We start from the raw sequence: 19,510 nt of genomic DNA, 5'->3' as shown, positions 1-19,510 counted from the left end.
TCAGGTTTGTCAAAGATCAGATAGTTGTAGATATGCGGCATTATTTCTGAGGGCTGTGTTCTGTTCCATTGATCTATATCTCTGTTTTGGTACCAGTACCATGCTGTTTTGGTTACTGTAGCCTTGTAGTATACTTTGAAGTCAGGTAGCGTGATGCCTCCAGCTTTGTTCTTTTGGCTTAGGATTGACTTGGCGATGCGGGCTCTTTTTTTGTTCCATATGAACTTTAAAGTAGTTTTTTCCAATTCTGTGAAGAAAGTCATTGGTAGCTCATACTTTGAATTTTACATTCCTTGAAAGTATACAGACATATATTTAGAATGGAAATATTTTGAAAATATATGATGCAACTAGATAAAAATCTCTCTAAGAAGCTCTTCTGGAGATGCTATCTGTAACATGGTCTCAAGTCCCACTACAGTACCATCTGAGGTCTATGAAACTCACACCTAATTAGAAATGATGTTGTGAAATGAGTTTAAACCTGTCTATAAACCTTTTAAATATGTATGAAATATATACTTAATTTTTTTTCAAAAAGATAACTGGCAATTGGTAAGACTGTAAGAAAAGAGGCTTGTCAACTGCTAATGGTAGGTACATTGGTACAACTTTTCTGAGGACACACCAGCAAAAATTTCAAAGCCAAAAATCTCAATGTTCTTTTACTTATTAACATATCTTTCAGAAATTTAACCTCAGAAAACAATCATTGATGTGCACCAAAATTTATTATAAAGATAATCAAGCAGCACTATTTATAAATGTGAAAACTTAGAAGCAACACTGTTAGAGGGCTGCTAAAATTAGGGACAATTTCTTCTTTGGGTAAGATCATATCTTTTTGGTAGATATAAGATGAAAATTACAGGACACTAGTAGACATAGACCCCTCTGAAAGCTTTCTACTCCCTGTAAGACACAGTGTCTGGCAATACCTAGTAACACATATTTCATCCCCATTGCCCCTGCCCTTGGCCCAAGGTAAGTCCATATTTCCCTGTGTGGTCCTGAGTCCTAGACGGCCTCATCTGATGATGGAGGTGACCTTGGCAAAGTTGACTGAGTCACCTGGTCAACTTCTGGGTGGCCACTGCAAGAAGCAAAAGGAGTTTGATCTGATCCCCTTTATAGAAGACATTGTTTTCCTAAGGCAGAAATTGTGGGAAATTCTCTTATCTCATTTGGGACATTGAAGAGCAGGTTTTGCCCTCCTTTATAAAGAATTTAAGGTAAACAATCAAGCAAACAAGAAAACTTTTTGTGGACATTCTCTTGCTGTATTAGCCAGGGTTCTCTAGAGGGATAGAACTAATAGGATAGATGTATAGTTGAAGGGAGTTTATTAAAATAATTGACTCACACGATCACAAAGTGAAGTCCCACAATAGGCCGTCTGCAAGCTGAGGAGAAAGGAAACCAGTCCAAGTCCCAAAACCTCAAAAATAGGGAAGCCGACAGTGTAGCCTTCAGTCTGTGGCCAAAGGCCTGAGAGCCCCTGGCAAACCACTGGTGTAAGTTCCCAAAAGCTGAAGAACGGGGAATCCAATGTTTGAGGACAGGAAGCATCCAGCATGGGAGAAAGATGAAGGCCAGAAGACTCAGCAAGTCTGTTCATTCCACTTTCTTCTGCCAGCTTTATTCTAGCCATGCTGACAGCTGATTAGATGGTGTCCACCCAGATAGAGAGTGGGTCTGCCTCCCCTAGTCCACTGACTCAACTATTAATTTTCTTTGGCAACATCCTCACAGACACACCCAGGAACAGGTCTTTGCATCCTTCAATCCAATCAAGTTGACCCTCAGTATTAACCAGTACTTGCTTTATGGCATCTATGCTGCTTATTTCTAGGAAGAGTTATGTGGTCTATGACACATCTTATTTAAGAAAGGATACTTATTCTCAGTTTGTTTATTCCATATGCTTCTTATAGAGAAGAATTAGATACATGGCAGCAAAAAGGATTTTCAAAGAAGTCTCCTATAATAAAACTCAATAGTCTACTGGGCGAGGTGGCTCATGCCTGCAATCCCAGCATTTTGGGAAGCTGAGGCCGATGGATCACCTGAGGTCAGGAGTTCGAGATCAGTCTGGGCAACATGGCGAAACTCTATCTCTACTAAAAATACAAAGTTAGCCAGGCCTGGTGACGGGTGCCTGTAATCCCAGGTACTCAGGAGGCTGACGAGGGAGAATCACTTGAACCCAGAAGGCGGAGGTTGCAGTGAGCCGAGATCGTGCCTCTGCACTCCAGCCTGGGCAATAGAGTGAAACTCAGTCTCAAAAAACAAAACAAAACAAAACAAAACAAAAAACTCAATAGTCAACAAGTGACTAATTAAATACCTTATGGTATGGCTATACCATAAAATATTATGTACCCATTAAAATCATGCAGTAGAAGAAAATTTTATTATATGAGAAACTGCTTACATGTGAAAAACAGATTACAAGCCAAAATGTGCAGTGTAATGTTAATCAAGGACAAATTGAGAAAAAAACATTGGATATATTCATGCCACAATATTAACATTTCTGGCTGAGGGTGTTTTTATTTTCTTCTTGGTGCTTTTCTGTAGCTTTAAAAGTTCCCATCTTTCTTGTACTATTTTTGCATTTATCAAATGATTATGGAACAATTTTACCTATTTATTAGACTCAGTAGTTACTTATTAAGTACCTATCATGTGCCAGATATTATGCTAATGCTTGCTAGGCACAAAATAATCAACACAAGAAAAAAATTTCTTTACTTTGAGAGCTCATTTCTACTCTGGTGAGAACATGGAAAACAAACCAATAAATAAATAGAACATATAATAGGTCAGATGGTGAAACATGTTTTGAGAAAAAAAAAGAAAAGTAAATGAGGGAAGGGAGGTGGGAGTGCTTGGGACTGGAAGCAAGTGCAATTTTAAGTAAAGGAAGAGAAGGCTCTGTGCTGGGTAAGTGTGCCACTTTCAACTGAGTGCATTTGAATTTCAAATCTGTATTGGTGGCCACAGGTGACTAAAATAAATTACTATTAGTTATAGAGTAACTCAACTATCATCATACAATCACAGAAAAGGCAGAGTCTCTGGTGCACATGGGAAACAGCTTAGATGGGGACCTAAGTGCCAAGACAGCCAGTAACACCAGCAGACACCCTGTGGTGGGCCTGGATAGTCCAGTTGTGACTCTATAAAGTAGCAGTCTAATTAAGATTTTTGCACAAGGATCTGTGACAAAAGCAGAAAATTGCACCTTAGCATATATCTCTTGATAAGAATATATATTTTTTCCACACATGCACACACACACACAGAGAGGAGGATAGAGGGGTCGGGGGGAGAGAGAGAGAGAAAGAGAGAGAGAGAGCGAGAGGGAGAGATTGAGAGAGAACCAAATAATCCTCCATTTGTAATACTTGCTCTTCCTGGGAGAGTGTGAACATCTCCCTTCTTTCTCTTCCCACCCTGACCTCGCCCAGCCAGGAATCCAGGAATGTGCAGCATGGATGCCCAAGTCTGAGTGGAGGTTGCATCAGTTTCAAAGACATTGTGCTCTTCCCTGCCGTGGTGGAGTGGTGAGCCGGTTGACATCCCGGAAAAGGTTGTTAGGGAGTGGAGGTGGGTGGAAGGTGAGAAATTATTTAATGGGTACAATATATGTTATTTGAGAGATGGATGCCTCAAAGCTCTGACTTAACCACTGTGCAATCTATGCATGAAACAAAATTGCACTTGCACCCCATAAATTTATACAAATAAAAAAGAAGGTTGTTTAGAACCCAGACAGTTTCCCATCCAATAGAGACTTTCAGAGAGTGCAATGCTATCGTTTGTTTAGAAGTAATCTCGAATTCCCAGAGTAATGGGCACACTTACATTTAAACAAAAGCACAAGCACAATGTACATTTCAAACCCAAATATAAGCTATTTTGTGCTAATGTAAGGAACTGGATACTTAGAAGTTGACCAGAGAAAAACAACTTACTTGACTTGAAGAATTTTGCTAAATAATTTAAAATTGTCTTCCCCATGTATGACTGCTAAGAATGATTCTAAATTTGTGTTTAAGCTTCTGTGTATTTACCACTTCTATCCCAGATATGGCATGCCTGGAATAAAACAGGCACTCAATAAGTGATGGCTGTGAATGACGATGATGATGATAATGATGATGATGACGATGAGAGGGATATTGACAAACCAATTCTTGCTAAAGTATAACAGTATTCAGCAACATTTTGTCTCCCGGAGCCATTTGTGTTTAAAAGGAGAATTGCAAAGACAAGATATGCAGAACTCAAAGGAATAAATGTTGAATGGTGTCATTCGAGGCCCTGGCATTTAAGGATTTCAGGGCTGGCTCTAAAGCCCTCAAAACTTGATACATAGTCATCTATAAACTCTGACTGGATATAAACTCAACGCAGATTTTATAATCTTGGCATCAGTCACCAAAATAGTCAGGCTTGTTCTTCATTCCCCAGAGCATAAACCCCTGGGAAGGACCTCTCTTCCCACCCTTACAGGCGGACAAGATTCACCTCTCTCCAAAGGACATAGTGCAGGAAGCTAACTCTCCTCTACTGACCCAGGCACTTCCTCACTTTTGCCTACATAAAAGGAAGGGGAGGATAGGGGTGAGGGTAATTACATCTGATGCCTTTTAAGGGACATCAAGGCTACTGATTTCAAACCTCTGGACTGGATATTCCTGTGGCTTTTACTACATATTAAAGATGAAAGAGAAATGGACTCAGCACCATTCCACATTAATTATCTGTGGCCTTTTGGCTCCCAGCACAGTGTCAGAAGTTTAGAGAGCCTCAAACTATATTCTGCTGATTTTAAAAAGAAAAATATAGCAAGTGGGATAATAGTATTTGTCAGTTTCATTTACAGCTCTTTTAGCTTGGCTGAATTAATGAGTATCTATTAGGCAGACTTGCAAGGATCCCTTTACACGTTCTTAAAGAATACCATACAATTAAATATCACTGTGGTAGAATCATAAATAGTAGAAGCAAAAAAATCCCTTAAATTACTCAGATTAGCATTTTTTTTTTAAGAGCAACTACTTTTTACTGGTTCAGAACATTGCGGGTAAGGGACAGAAAACCAGACATTTATGGGACACCTTTTATGTGCACATCATTGCACAGAGCAGGAATGTGCAAGAATGTGCAGGATGGATGCCCAGGGCTCCTCCTCTCTGAGACCTGTGTGTTCACCCTCCATCCACTAAACTCTGGAAGTGTTTTGTATATGCTTCTCATGGGTCACTTCCTATTTTCTGTCCTTGGGTCTAGTTTTTGGTCCGTGACTTACCCCTCCTTTGAATTATAAACTTTAGTCCTCAGACATTGCATTTTACAGCTTCATATTCCCCAAAATAATTAGCTCAGTGTTTCTCACATAATAAGGTGTTCAATAAACAGTTTTTGATTAATAAATTATAAAAAAAGAGATGTTGCTTCTCCTACAAGTTTATAATAGCTAATAATGATAAGCAAATACTTTTTTATAAGTACTTTCTATGTGCCTGACATTATGCTTGACACTTTAAATCATTTAATCGTGTCCCCATAGTAAGAGGACAAAACTCACCATTATGGAAGTTAAGTGAATATTAGACTAACATTACACAGCCAGATCCAGGATTTAATCACAAGTGTGACTCTAGATCATGTGATCTTAACTTTTATACCATACATTCCTATATTTTTTAATGGTTGTTGATATTTTAGCATGACTATTTTATAATTATCACTGTAAAATCCAGGATGCCATAATTCATTATGAAAATTGCTGAATGCTCTAAAGCCAAAGATCAAAGACGCACTGAAGTAGGTTGGAAAAATTCAGTATTGTCCTTGAGTCTGGTACTATTGTGGCCTGAAGAACGTTGGCATCATTCTGAATATTCAAGACAAATTTAGATGGAGTAAAATAGTGGGGTCTTGTTACTTTTTCCTGCGTATCACGGCACTTAGTAGAGGGACAGAATTTTGTGGTACAAGATTACTAATCAACAAAGTGTCTCTCAGGTCTTCTGAGTAACTGGGGATGGTAATATATTGTTTAATAGAGAAATTTTTTAAGTATTATTGTACCTCAACTTTACTATTATACATGTTGACTGACTATCTATGAAGGTTCAGAAGTATTTGTAAGTACTTAGAATGTAAGATGAATAGAATTCTGTGCCTGACTTCAAGGGGCTCACAGTCTGGCAGGTAAACCAGCTGGGTGCAGACCCAGGCTCCTGCTCCATGGAGCAGGTAGGAGCCCCACCCCCACCCCAGGTGCAGCTGCTGCTGCTGAAGCCGCAGCAGCAGACTCAGATATCCCTGCACTCTTGGGGGTCCAGGAAGGCCCCCCTGACCTGGCAGGCTCGGAAGTGCCTCCTCCTGCTGCCTGGCTTCTCCCTGCTCTCTGAGCCCACTCAGATCTCAGAACATCAGGCAGAGCCCTGGGCACCATGAATAGCAGCAGGAGGCAGAGAGACTCCTGGGTGGAAGGCAGTGGATCCCCATGAGTTCCCACCTTCAGGCCATGGAGGGCCTGAAGGCTGGGGGCCGGGTTGCCAGTCTCACAGACCGGAGTGGGAACTTGCGGTGCCTTTCCTGGTGCCTTTCCCATGGCCCAATCCTTTCACGCTCCCTCCCCTCTGAGGCCCATAAAAACCCAGGCTCAGCCACAGTTGAGGAGACAATGGGATGACCAGCTGCAGAGAGGAGCAACACTTTCTGCTGATAGCAAGAGACATTGGGACAACTGGCAGCAGAGAGGAGCAATCCACTCCAGTGCCTCCTCTCTGCCAGGAGCTGGGAGGTGACAAGACAGCCTACCTGTAGACCCACTCCAGGGCCTCCTTTCTGCTGAGAGCTGGGAAGACAACAGGACAACCTGCCTGCAGAGAGGAGCTTCCAACTCCAGGGTCTCCTCTGTGCTAGGAGCTGAACACTTGATGCGACACCCTGGCTGCGTAAAGGAGCTACCCACTGTGGGTCCTCTGTGAGATGTTCTATTGCTCAATAAAGCTCCTCTTCATCTTGTTCACCCTCCACTTATCTGCATACCTCATTCTTCCTGGTTGCAGGACAAGAACTCGGAACCCACTGAATGGTGGAGCTAAAAGAGCTGTAACACAAACAGGGCTTAAATATGCCCCTTGCTCACCATGTTGTGGGTGAAGAGAAGGAGAGAAGAGCTGCAGCCCCTTGGGGAGCCCAGACCTGGGAGCTCCCTGAGCCAGGGCTGTGACTCTCTCTTTGGAGGTGTGCGGTGCCTGGCATTTCCAAGCTTACGGGTTCCACTGTGGTCTCTGGTGCCAACGAGGGAAGCTGCTTGCAGTGTGCCTGGTCCATCCACACCCTCACAGCCTGGCAAATAGCCGGCGCCCATGCTGGCCCACCCAGCTGCAGCAGCCAGCGTGTCTGACTGTGCAGTGGCTGGATCCCATGCTCACTCACACACCCCTCACCGCTCCATGACTGATTCACCCTTGGCAGGCATGCGATCTAGGCCAGTAGTGTGAGCCGAGTGCAGCCTGCCAGGCCAAGTGGGCAGCATGAGCCCAATGGGCCTGAGCAAAACTTGGGCAGAGGCACCACAGGCCAGAGGTTTCAGGCCAGAAAAGCGACACCCCAAAGGTCCCATAACAATAATAGGGCCCAGATGCAACTACCAGGGTTCAGGGACAAGGCTCTGGATCTAAGACCTATGGGATTAGACTGGTTCCTCATCCTCAAGGGCCGTGGAACTTTACTGGACCCTTGACAGGTAGAGAGCTGAGCCTTAAATAGGAAACAAGATTACAGCAAGAATAACCTTAAAGCTGACTTAACCATGAACCTCGATGCTACTGGTGAAGGGCTTTTAAATTCCCCTTAAACTAGAGAAGGAATAGGGTTGGCTTCAGAGTCTGAGTGAATGTGGGTTTAAGATGAGGCAGGTATTTTAGCAGAAAATAACAAGACCTAGTTATGTAGATTTGAGCAAAAGGGGCTAATGAACATTCATATATTATTACAGGTAATTCACTGGGCCCTTCTTTGCCATCCTAAAGCATTAACTGCTAAAGGTTTTCTTAGCATTTCATTTAGAATAATGACATTGCTGTAATGATGGTATCACTAGTAATTCATTTGGCAGTCTGATCTGTTACTATTGAAATGCTTGTAAGACTTTTCATATTCTAGAAAATCTCTGGTTTCTAATTATGGTAGCTTATTCTAGCACCTGAAAAAATTTACTACTTAATTAATACATAATTTTAGGTAATTTGACAGAGGCTAGCCTGAAGTTTATCTTTGATGGATTCATATTAACTATAATTTACCAGGCTAATTAAGTTGGGCAAGATTGCACGGAAAATGTTTAAACAACTTTTGAAACTAGTTTTCAAGTACCTTAAATACTTTAAAAGCTATCATTTACATAGCAATACTGAGTTGATTATAATAATAATAATCATTACCTATTCATGAAAGTAGTGTCTGTAGTATATTTTCTTGGCAGCCTAGAGATAATCCTCTTTGAATCATTAGGGACGTTTATGATAGTTAGATCTTTTCTGGGTTTTAAATGACAAAAACCCAACTTGATAAACATAGCAAAAAGGACAATTTTGTCACCCTGTTAACTGCAGGAAGGGCAAGTGTCTTAGTCTGTTTAAGCTGCTATGGCAAAATACCATAAACTGGGTAGTTTATAAACAATAGAAATGTATTTCTCACTGTTCTAGAGGCTGGGGAGTCCAAGATCAAGACATCAGCAGACTCAATGTCAGGTGACAGCCCCACTTTCTGGTTTGCAGAGGTCCCTTCTCACGTGTTCTCACATGATGCAAGGGGCTAGCTGGGTCTCTGCTTCTTCCTCTCTATGAAACACAGACATAACTGCCCTTAGTAGAAGAGCCCCACATCTTACTGCATCCAGCACCTCAGAGAAACTACAACTATTTCTCTCTTTTCTTGAATTTTCAATTTCTTATAAGAGCTATGATTGTCACAGCTTGAGTCAAGTGTGCATCCCTGAACAAATCAGTTATGGTCAAGGGAGTCACAGTGTCATTATGGTTGGCTCAGTTGAAACCACTCATGTGTAGATTAATTACCATGACATAAGACTAGACTAAATATTTTTTAAAAGAAAACTTAAAATATGTAAGTAAATAGAAAGGCATAACATCTTCCACTATGGGAACTCTCAATAGTACAAATTTCTCATTCACTCAATAATTATTTACTAGACACCAGGCATTTTATTTAGCAGTGGTCATTCTCCCCCAAGTATTTACAACTTTATTGAAATTCCAATCAAACCCCAGATGAATGTTTTAAGGGCACAGACAAACTGATTATAAAGTTGATAAATAAGTAAATGTACGTAAAAATGTTTGAACATTTATTAAAAGATGATGTTTTCAACATATGTAAGTATAATTTATAAACTACAACATAAAATGGAGGAGGGACCTATAAAATGGTAAGATTTCCACATTCCATTTGAAGTGGTAAATCGCTGATTCTAAGTAGATTGTAAAAAGTTAAGTGTGTATATTGTACAGTAACCACTAAAAAAGCTATTGTCTTAGTTTGGGCTACTATAATAAGACCCAATACACTGGGTGGCTTATAAATGACAGAATTTCATTTCTCACAGTTCTAAAGACTAGAAGTTTGAGATCAGGGTGCCATCATGGCCAAATTTTGGTGAGGGCCCTTTTCCAGGTCGCAGGCTGCCGACTTCTCATAGTATTCTCACATGGTGTAGAGCTGAAAGAGGAAAGATGCTCTCTCATGATTTTTATGAGGACACTAATCCCATCTGAGGGCTTCACCCTTATGACTTCATCTAATCCTAATTACCTCTCAAAGGTAATTTCCTCCCAATACCACCACAGTGGAGGATAGGGTTTCTACATATGAATTTTGGGGGACACAAACATTTACTTCATAACAAAGATACAAAAAATATAGTTAATAAATTAAATGGAATAAGAAATGTGTTCAAATAACCCCACAGAAGGTAGAAAGGGGGAAACAGAGGAATGAAAAACTGAGGAAACAAAAAATGCATAATAAAATGGTAGTTCGAAATACAAGGAAACCAATAATTAAATTAAATGCACATGGTATGAACACATCAATTAAAAGACAGATTAGAAGAATGAATTTTTTAAAATGTGACCCATCTATATGCTGGCTACAAGAAACACACTTTGGATATATGATATAGGTAGATAAGAAATATGTTTGTAATAGTGTTATGCAAAAATGTAATAATATATGGTGAAAAGGTTAAAAAATACCATGCAAACACTGATTAAAAAAAGTTGTGGATATATTAATATTTGGCAAATAAATATTCCAGACATAAAGAGGGAAATAATGTAATGAAACAATAGTCAATTTAATAAGAAGACATAATGATCCTAAATATGGTTACATTTGGCATCAGTGTCGCAAAGCAGATGAAACAAAAATAACAGAGCTGAAAGAAGAATAAACAAATCCACAATTATATTTTGAAACTCAAGTACTCCTTTCTCAATAATTAATAGAACCAATAGACAGAAATCAGTTAAGATATAGGGGTGCAGGCTGGGTGTGGTGGCTCACGCCTGTAATCCCAACACTTTGGGAGGCTAAGGTAGGTGAATCACTTGAGGTCAGGAGTTTGAGACCACCCTGGCCAACATGGTAAGGGTTAAAATACAAAAATTAGCCAGGCATGGTGGCGTATGGCTGTAATCCCAGCTACTTGAGAGGCTGAGGCAGGAGAATCACTTGAACCCAAGAGGCAGAGGTTGCAGTGAACTGAGATCACATCACTGCACTCCAGCCTGGGCAATAGAGTGAGACCCTGTCACACACACACACACACACACAAAGATATAGCAGTGCTGAGCAATATCATTAAACAACTGGATCTAATTGACATTTACAGAACACTTCATACAACAGAAGATTAAACATTCTTTTCAGGTATACTTGAAACATTCACCAAGACAGACCATAATCCTAACAAGTTAAAAATATTCAACATCATACAAACTATGATCTCTGACAGTAATAGAACACAGACCAATAACATAAAGACAACTCTCCAAACATTTGGATTTTAAACAAAATATATCTTAACAATCCAAGGGTCAAAGAGGAACTCTGAAGGAAAATTAGAAAATATTTTGAATTTAATAAAAATGAAAATACAAAATATCAAAATGTGTATGATACAGCTAAGAGGGAAATGTATAGCATTATCATTATATGCTTATAGTATTAAAGAAGACTGGTCTTGAATCAATCTAAGCTTTCTCCTTCACAAACTAGAAAATTAAGGGCAATAGAAATCTAAAGCCAGGAGAAGGAAGAAAATAATAAAGACAAGAGCCAACATCAATGAAATAGAAAACAGAAAAGCAACAGAGAAAATTAATGAAACCAAAAGCTGGTTCTGTGAAATGATCAATAACATTTATAAACTTCTAGTAAAAATGACAAAAGAAAAAAGAGAGAAAATGCAAATTACTAACATTAGAAATGAAAAAGGGGATATCACTGCACCTCATAGATATTAAAAGAATAATAATTGAATACTGTCGATAACTCTATACTCATAAATTTGACAACGTACATGAAATGGATCAATGTCCTAAAAATCACCAACTACCAAAACTTACTCAAGGTGAAATAGACAACCCAATTAGTCCTATAACTAATAAAGAAATTAAATTTGTGTCTTAAAACCTTCTGTAAAAAGAAATCTTCTGGCTCAGATAGTTTCACTGGCAAATTCTACCAAATATTTAAAGAAAGAAACAACACCAGTTCTACACACTCTATTCCAGAAAATAGAAGAGATACTACTTCTTATTTTATGAGCCTAGCATTACACTGATACCAGAGCCAGATAAAGACACTTCAAGAAAAAGAAAACTGTAGACCAATATCCCTTATAAACATAGACACAAAAATCCTCAACAAAATAATAGCAAGTCAAATCCAGCAATACATAAAAGGAATAGTACACCATGACCAAGGGGGTTTATTTGTGAATGCAAGACTGGTTCAATGTTTGAAAATTTGTCAATATGATCCATATATTAACAGTTAATGGTAAAAGATTAAATATTTCAGTGGTTCAAAAAATTGAAATATTTAAGTATGAATCTAACAAAACATTTAAAGGATTTGAATAATAAAACTACAAAATGCTGATAAAAAATATTTTTAAATAAAGACCTTGATAAACGATGAAGTACACTGTCTTCATGGACTGAATGATTCAACATAGTAAAGATGCTCATACTCCTGAAACTAATTTACAGCAGCAATTTTTGGAGCTACAAATTGGTTCTAAAATTTGTAGGTAAAGTCAAAGGAACTAGAAAAGTCAAACAATTTTGGAAAAGAAAATGAAATTGGAGGAATCACACTACCTAATTTTAAGATTTGCTGTAAAGCTATGCTAATCAAGACAGTGTGGTATTGGTGAAAAGATAAACACATAGATAAAGTGGAGAAAATAAAAAAAGAGATCCAACAATTATGGCCAATTGATTTGGATAAATGGTCAAGGTGAAAAAAAGACAGTCTTTTCAACAAAATAGAAATATTGAACATCCATATGCAAAACATAAAACTTGAGCCAAACTTCACAGCTTACAGCAAAAGTTAACTCGAAATGGTTCATAGATTTAAGTGTAAAAGTCAAAATTATAAACCTTAGGTAGAAAACATAGGAGAAAATCATTGTAAGCAGGGGTTAAGTAAAGAGTTCTTAGAGATGACAATAAAAGCACAATCCATAAAAGAAAAAAATTGATAGATTGGATCATGTCAAAATTAAAAATTTCTGTTTATTTTCACACAACAACCTGTGCATGAATATTTATAATCATTCTATTCATAATCACCAAAAACTGGAAGCAACCCAAATGACCTTCAGTGGATGAATACTGTAACTATATCCACACAATGGAATATTGCTCAGCAATGAAAATGAAAGAATTATCAATACATGCAATGTCTTAAATTAATTTCAAAGACATCATGCCCAGTAAAAGAATCAATCTCAAAAAGTTATATACTCAATGAGTTCATTTAAATGACATTCTGGAAAAGATACAACAATAGTAATGAATAGATCAGAGGTGCCAACAGTTGGGGGTTAGGGAAAAATGTAACTAAATAGGAATAGCACAAGGATATTTTTGGGTGATGAAGCTTTTCCTTATCCTGAATGAAGTGATGGTTATGCAAATCTACACATTTATGAAAATTCATAGTACTGTATACCAAGGAAAACAGTCAATTTTAAATTATGCTAATTTTAAAAAATAAACACACAAGAGGATTAGGAGACTTTACCTCTTTAAATTTTTTTTCTTTAATTTCACTTGGGGTTAGAAAGAGAGAGAAAAAAAGTACTGATCTGACTACAAAATCAGTAAATTCTATATGCCAGAAAATAACACGAATAGTATTAAAAGATAAGTGACACACTAGGAGAAAATATTTGCAACATATTTAATAAGCAAAAGATTAATGTATAAGACATATAAAAAGCTCCTTTATATCAAAAAGAAAAGACAAACAAACCAATAGAAAAAATACACAAAAGATCTGAAGAGGCAATTCCCAGAAGAAAAAATCCAAATGGCCAACAAACATATGAAAAGATGCTCAACCACAATAGTAATCAGGAAAATGCACATCAAAACAACAATGAGATATTTTCCACCCATTAGAATGCCCAAATTGAAAAAGATGAATAATGTAAGCAAGAATAAAGAAACTGGCCCACTCTTCCATGTTGGTGGGCGTGGAAATCAGTGACACTCTTTTGGAAGGCAATTTTCTGGTCTCAACCAAAATTTAAAAGCAATGCCCTTGGACCCAACAATTCCATTTCTAGGAATTTTTTTCTCTTAAAGAAATATTTACACATATGAAAAAGATGTATGTGTAAGGATGTATATTGTGACATTGTTCTTATAATAATAAATTATAAATAAAGCTAAATATGTACTGATAAGAGGTTAATGAATTATGGTAATTCACAGTAACAAATAATATTTAGCCACTATAAAGAGTAAAGATAAATCAAAACACATTGACATGAAAATATTTCCTAACAGAGTAGGAGTAAAAAGGCAAATAACAGAACAATATATATATAACATGATAATTTATTAAAATCAAAACAATTACATGTTTACATATATACATATACATGTGTACATGTATATGTATACACATATATAGATGTGTAAAGGTAAGAAAAACAGTTTGGAAGGCTATTGATGTCTATAGTTTTCCCTGTGGTAGATAGCTGTAATACGAGTGAGCAGTATGAATGGGCACAGTATCAGCTTTCTAACAGGAAATTAATTACATAGCCTTAAATCAGAATAATTTAAGGAGTGTTTAATAATTTACAAAGCTGTGGGCTGGCTGTGTGGAAAGAGATGGGGCAATGCCATGGGGTTAGAAACTGCTGAAGCTATCCACAGATCTGACAAATAAGAGCAGAGAGTAGTTTCTGGAACCCAGTAGAAGAGAGTGGTGGGAAAATGGCTGTTTTGAGAGGAGTCACTACCTTTGGTCAAGACATACAGTCTCTGATGACTGCTCAGGGAAGAAGTCAGACCAATAAAAGAGAATCTTACCCACTTGCCATAAGAATCTAAATAGTTCATGTTCAGTGGACTGTGCTAGACACTTTTGGTTACCCACCTAGAATCAATTGCCTCTTCATTGTTCTTAAAGGACCCTGTTTTTGTTTAGGCATTCTCCATTCTCCCATGTAGCTGAACAATGCCTCCAGGGCAGCTGCCTATCCTGGTGCTGATGAGAATGGTCTAAGGGTTATCCAACTGCCCTTTTCAGTGACACGGAATAGTCAGGTGGTCCAATCCAGCCAACAAGGCAAGAGGGAAAGCCCATTGGAGAGCCTCTGAGAAAGTCTTTCTCATTACAGAACCAGAGTCAGACAGTCTGTTCTTCTCTGATGGTGTCACATCTGGATAGAGTGGCTGGAGCTGCTGCATCCAGCTTGCTACAAGCACAGGGGATGGCAGAGCTCAGAGATGGGATGACCCTGTGTTCTTGATGGAATCAACCAGTCATGCGGATCCTGCTATTTCTGGACTGGCTGTTAGGTGAGATAATGAATTATTTCCACAATGCATGCTTCTTGGAGCACAGGGAGACTCTTACTTGAGGACCTCGTTATTTCTCACTGGGGCCATGCTGGCGGCGTTCAAGTCAGGCTGCTCTCAGGCTTCTCCAGAAGTACCTAACAACTCATGGCCACTCTTCTGACCCTATCCTTCACAAGTAGGCCTACTTTATAGGTACTGACCACATATTTTCTATATTAATCTGAAAAACATGATGGTTTTGAGGTGTCACATTTCCCAAGATATACCTTAGAATTGAAGTTATGCTTTAATGAATAAAAAAATTAACACTTATTTTTGAGGATAACATATTCTATATATCTTTATAAAATATAGAACATGGAGGAAAGTGAAAAGAAGGAAATAAATATTTTGTATTCATAGATAATTTGTGTGTAGACATATACTTTTAGGTTTTTTTCCAGACAGCTATCAGAAAATCAAACCCTGCTTACCACTTATAAGATACTGTTCTCATTTAGTCTGTAACATCACAAACAGTTCACCTTTGGTTGCACAGTGCCCAGTTGAATGGATGCAGTGCAATATGCTCACCTACTTCTGTATTGCTCAGGATTTGGGTTGGTTCTAATTCTTGAAGTCTCTTTGATAACAAAGGAAAGGGAGAACAAAGAGAGGGGAGAAACTGGGAATTTAGTATTCAAATATTAAATTTGAACACCTCTAAACTTGAAGAGTAAATTGGAATTGCTCCTCAGAGTAAAGTACCCAAAGAACTAATAACTTACTCTTTTCTTCAAATGGTGTCTCTCTATTGGTTTATCACATTAGCTTGCCTTTGAGTTCAAGCAGGCAAGACACAGAGGCAGGTCCCTGAACCACAGCACTCTAATTTTACATGTCAGAGTTAATACCAGTATCAATGTCAATGTGGGAAGCTGGGCTTTAAAGTAATCACCTCCTACTTCTGGTTTGTTGAATAGGATTGAAAACCCAATGTTTTCTAAAGGCTCACCACTAAGACTGGATTGGCATTCCTAAAAGTAGGAGGCTCAAAGACATTTCAAGCATGTTTCTGCCACAGTGATTTGTTGTGGTGGTTCATTAGCAAAATCTCTCTTCTGACTCACTCTAATAATAACAATATAACCTATGATATCTCTAGAGAACTTTACAGTTCAGAAAAGGGATTTCACCTCACTGTCTGATCTGATTACCACCATAGAACTTTGAAATCAGTTGGTAGCAGGGAAATCTCCTACCCCTCCATCTCCTGCCTCTGTCTCCAAATTCCATTCTGACTGGACTGTGCTTACTGGTGATCCAGATAACTGTGTTTTAAAAGGCATGTGCATTACACGAATCCTCTCCCTTTGACCTGTTGCACCCAGCCTTGTGTGGCAAGCTTGCGCAATGTCTGGATTGGGAGAGTGGGCTGGCATTTCTCTAGCTTTCTTTTGTGTGTGTGTGAACTCTGAATGCTCTGGTCTCCAGGGACTGGCTGGCAGTAACAGTTGAATTTCAAGCAAAAGGAGAAGACCCATTAAGTTTACCTGAACTTAAGCAACAAGCGGTAGTCCAGATTACTACAGGGTACAGGCACTAGTCCAGCTAGTCATAAAATGGTTTCTGCTCCCATTTTGACACTGTGATTTATGTGTGTGTGTGTCCCTGCAAATCTGCATCACCCCAATATCACCAATACTTCTAGTCTAGTGGTTTATGCTCATAACATAGAGAAGGAAACCAAGACTCAGACCCCAGTGTGACTTGCCCAAGGTCACAGGGCTGGTAATAATGGAGCCTGACCTAGCTCTCAGAGTTCCTGATCTTCAGTCACCACACCAGGCTTCCAACACTTTATCTTTCCCCAGAAATGACCCACATCTTTGGCACTCTTCATTTTGTCAGTAATAAGCAATGGGCAAGCTCCCCTCTGGAGAGATAGCTTTTCCTGTTATCACCCAGTCACATGCAGGCCTCCCTGTTATCACGTCTTTTCTCCTGCAACAGGAACAAACAATAACAGTACTATAGCTCCCTCTTTCCTAGGAGAAGGAAGTTTTGGTAACTATTGTTCAGCCTCTGTGTTCAGGAGTGACATGGACAATAGGTAGATTTCTGCAGCCTTAGGGAAGTATCAGAATGAATCTGTTGAAAAACCGTGGTTCCAGAGACTCTTTCCTGTAATTCTCCCCAGCACGGTCTTTCATATTTTATTGCCTTGCATGACTTCTTCTGCTTCCATTAACACTGAGACAAAGGTATTTTTTTGTACTTACTGAATTTTTTCCCTAAGTATCATGTGAGTGGTGTACAAACTCAACTTTCAACCTCCTGCTATTCAACTTGAGAGCTGTTTTATATGTTTTACCAATTTCAAGTTACTTTCTAACTGACTGCAGGAAAAGTTCTTTATGTCATTCTGGAGAAGCAACCAATTTTCACTGAATGGTAATACAATGGAGTCCTTCTTATTTGCTTTCAGTCTCATCACAAATAGTTAGCATTCTGTTCCTTTTGCAGAAAAAATGGCCTTATGTTTATAATAAAAACAAAATGTGTATGTTGCAATATAGATTTAAAAGTCAACACTGAAATATGCTGTCTTCTGTTAGTAATATTATTTTTTATTACTTCTCTCTCTCTATTTTTTAAACCCACATGATATAGACATCTGACTCATGAAAAGAAAAATAGAAGTGAAAATTGCCATTTTTCTCAAGAAATAGCACTTTCTTCCCACAATATAAAGAAGACCATTTGACTTTTATTACTAAGTTTTCCAAACCACTGAGCATGCACCTCCACATGCCTGCAGAGTGCACTGGTTGCCATTGGGTTGAGTGAATTCCAGTTACACATTACTATCACAGACAAGTAAAGGGTCAATGAAATACATATTCACGACCCCACAAATAATCTTTTCAGTAGTCTGTTTCCTAGTTACATGATTTCCCTTTTCTTAAATCCTTGAATTATTTGATAAAAGTCTCCACAGTGGTGTTTTTACTGTGGCTGAACTTTGGTGGGTAAAGAGATAAAAGAAAAACTTCAATCTATGGCCTTGGGACACACATGAGAAATTTGCTACCCAGGTGAGGCACACTTGTGGAAGCCAAAAATCTTCATGCTTATATCAAATCCATGAATATTCTGGCTTCTGAACATGGCCCAAGTACGGGAGGGTTATGTGCAGTAGTAAACAGATGACTAAACTACATCTGATGCCTAAGTAGTGACTTCTTGGTGAACACACAACTTTTTCACCATGCTATCATGCAATCATTTTTAAAACTCGGGATGTCATCTTCCTCCCTTGTAAGTTCAAGCCCCCAGATATGGCTTATCAGGCCACTTATAATGTGTGTGCTTTCAAGTTCACGATATACATTGCATTACATTTATAATATCAGGTGACGTGACACAGCAAATGATACCTTCAACTATCTCCAGCCCCAATCTTGGGAAATGTTTCTGGTAGTCCCAGTAGCAGGGACAGCAAGCTAAAATAAGGGGTTTAACGTTTAAGATCTCTAAGAGCTGATACCACTGGGGCAAACTCCCTCAACAATGAGGTTTTCTCCAACCTCAAAAGAAAGGCCAGTGAACAGTCATCTGGTACAGGTGGCATTGCTGGTGGGAGGAGTGGGTTTTCCACGGCTGTACTACACATTTTGGGAGCCATCAATAGCTGGCGCAGTGGATGCAACACCCTCTTGATTGTCAGCAGAAGCAAATCACTAGAAGCCCTGGAACCCTAGTAAAACACCCAAAAGAAAACATGGAATTAAATATCACGTTGTCATCCCTGCTGCTTAGGTACAGAAGAGGTACAGCTCTATTCTGGAAGGATTTGGAGTCATTTGAGAGAGCAGCTTTACATCAGAAGTTTTGACTAGTATTCTCATTTTAGGGACAGATAGTGATTCTCATTTGAGGACAGCTGAAAAAAAAAAACAGCTGAATTATCACCAACTAGTTTAGGTTATGTCTTGGGTTGAATTGTGTTGTCCAAAAAGATTCATTGACGCACTAACCCCCAGAACCTCAGAATGTGACCCTTATTTGGAATGAGGGTCTTTACAGAGTTAATCAGATTAAAATAAGATACGATTGGCACTAACCCAATATGAGTTTTTAGAAAAAGGGGAAATTTCAACCCAGAGACATGCATTGTGGGAGAACTATAAGAAAAGATACAGGCAGAACGCCATGAGAAGACAAATGCACAGACTAGGGGATGCAACTACAAGCCAAGGAATGGCAAAGATTTCCAGCAAACCACCAGATGCTAGGAGAAGCATGGAACAGATTCTCCCTCACAGTCCTCAGAAGGAACCAACCCTGGCGACACCTTC

General features: G+C 38.7%; 1 long non-coding RNA gene across 4 annotated transcripts in view, besides 1 other annotated feature; it reads left to right on the top strand.

Moving 5' to 3' along the window:
* The window catches only part of LOC105377885 (uncharacterized), a 143,181-nt gene extending 123,713 nt beyond the window's left edge, over positions 1 to 19,468 (top strand). For 2 of the 4 annotated variants that reach the window (XR_001744250.1, XR_007059670.1), the window contains exons 4-5: positions 3,478 to 3,623; positions 14,987 to 19,468. This is a non-coding gene — a long non-coding RNA (uncharacterized LOC105377885). The remainder of the gene's footprint in view (positions 1 to 3,477; positions 3,624 to 14,986) is intronic. The other 2 variants (XR_007059669.1, XR_001744251.1) reach the window with 2 other exon arrangements.
* Positions 6,390 to 6,891: an enhancer, noted in NCBI's record as "H3K4me1 hESC enhancer chr6:89022035-89022536 (GRCh37/hg19 assembly coordinates)". NCBI's record gives its function as "activates a minimal SCP1, AML or CMV promoter by ChIP-STARR-seq in naive H9 embryonic stem cells {active_cell/tissue: H9 hESC(naive)}" and the evidence as "EXISTENCE:reporter gene assay evidence [ECO:0000049][PMID:30033119]".
* Positions 19,469 to 19,510: the final 42 nt, after the last annotated feature.

This window comes from Homo sapiens, chromosome 6 (genome assembly GCF_000001405.40).
Source record: "Homo sapiens chromosome 6, GRCh38.p14 Primary Assembly".
In the NCBI taxonomy this organism is placed as follows: domain Eukaryota; kingdom Metazoa; phylum Chordata; class Mammalia; order Primates; family Hominidae; genus Homo; species Homo sapiens.
Note: the sequence above shows the minus strand (reverse complement) of the source record. Positions and strands in the feature narration are given on the sequence as shown.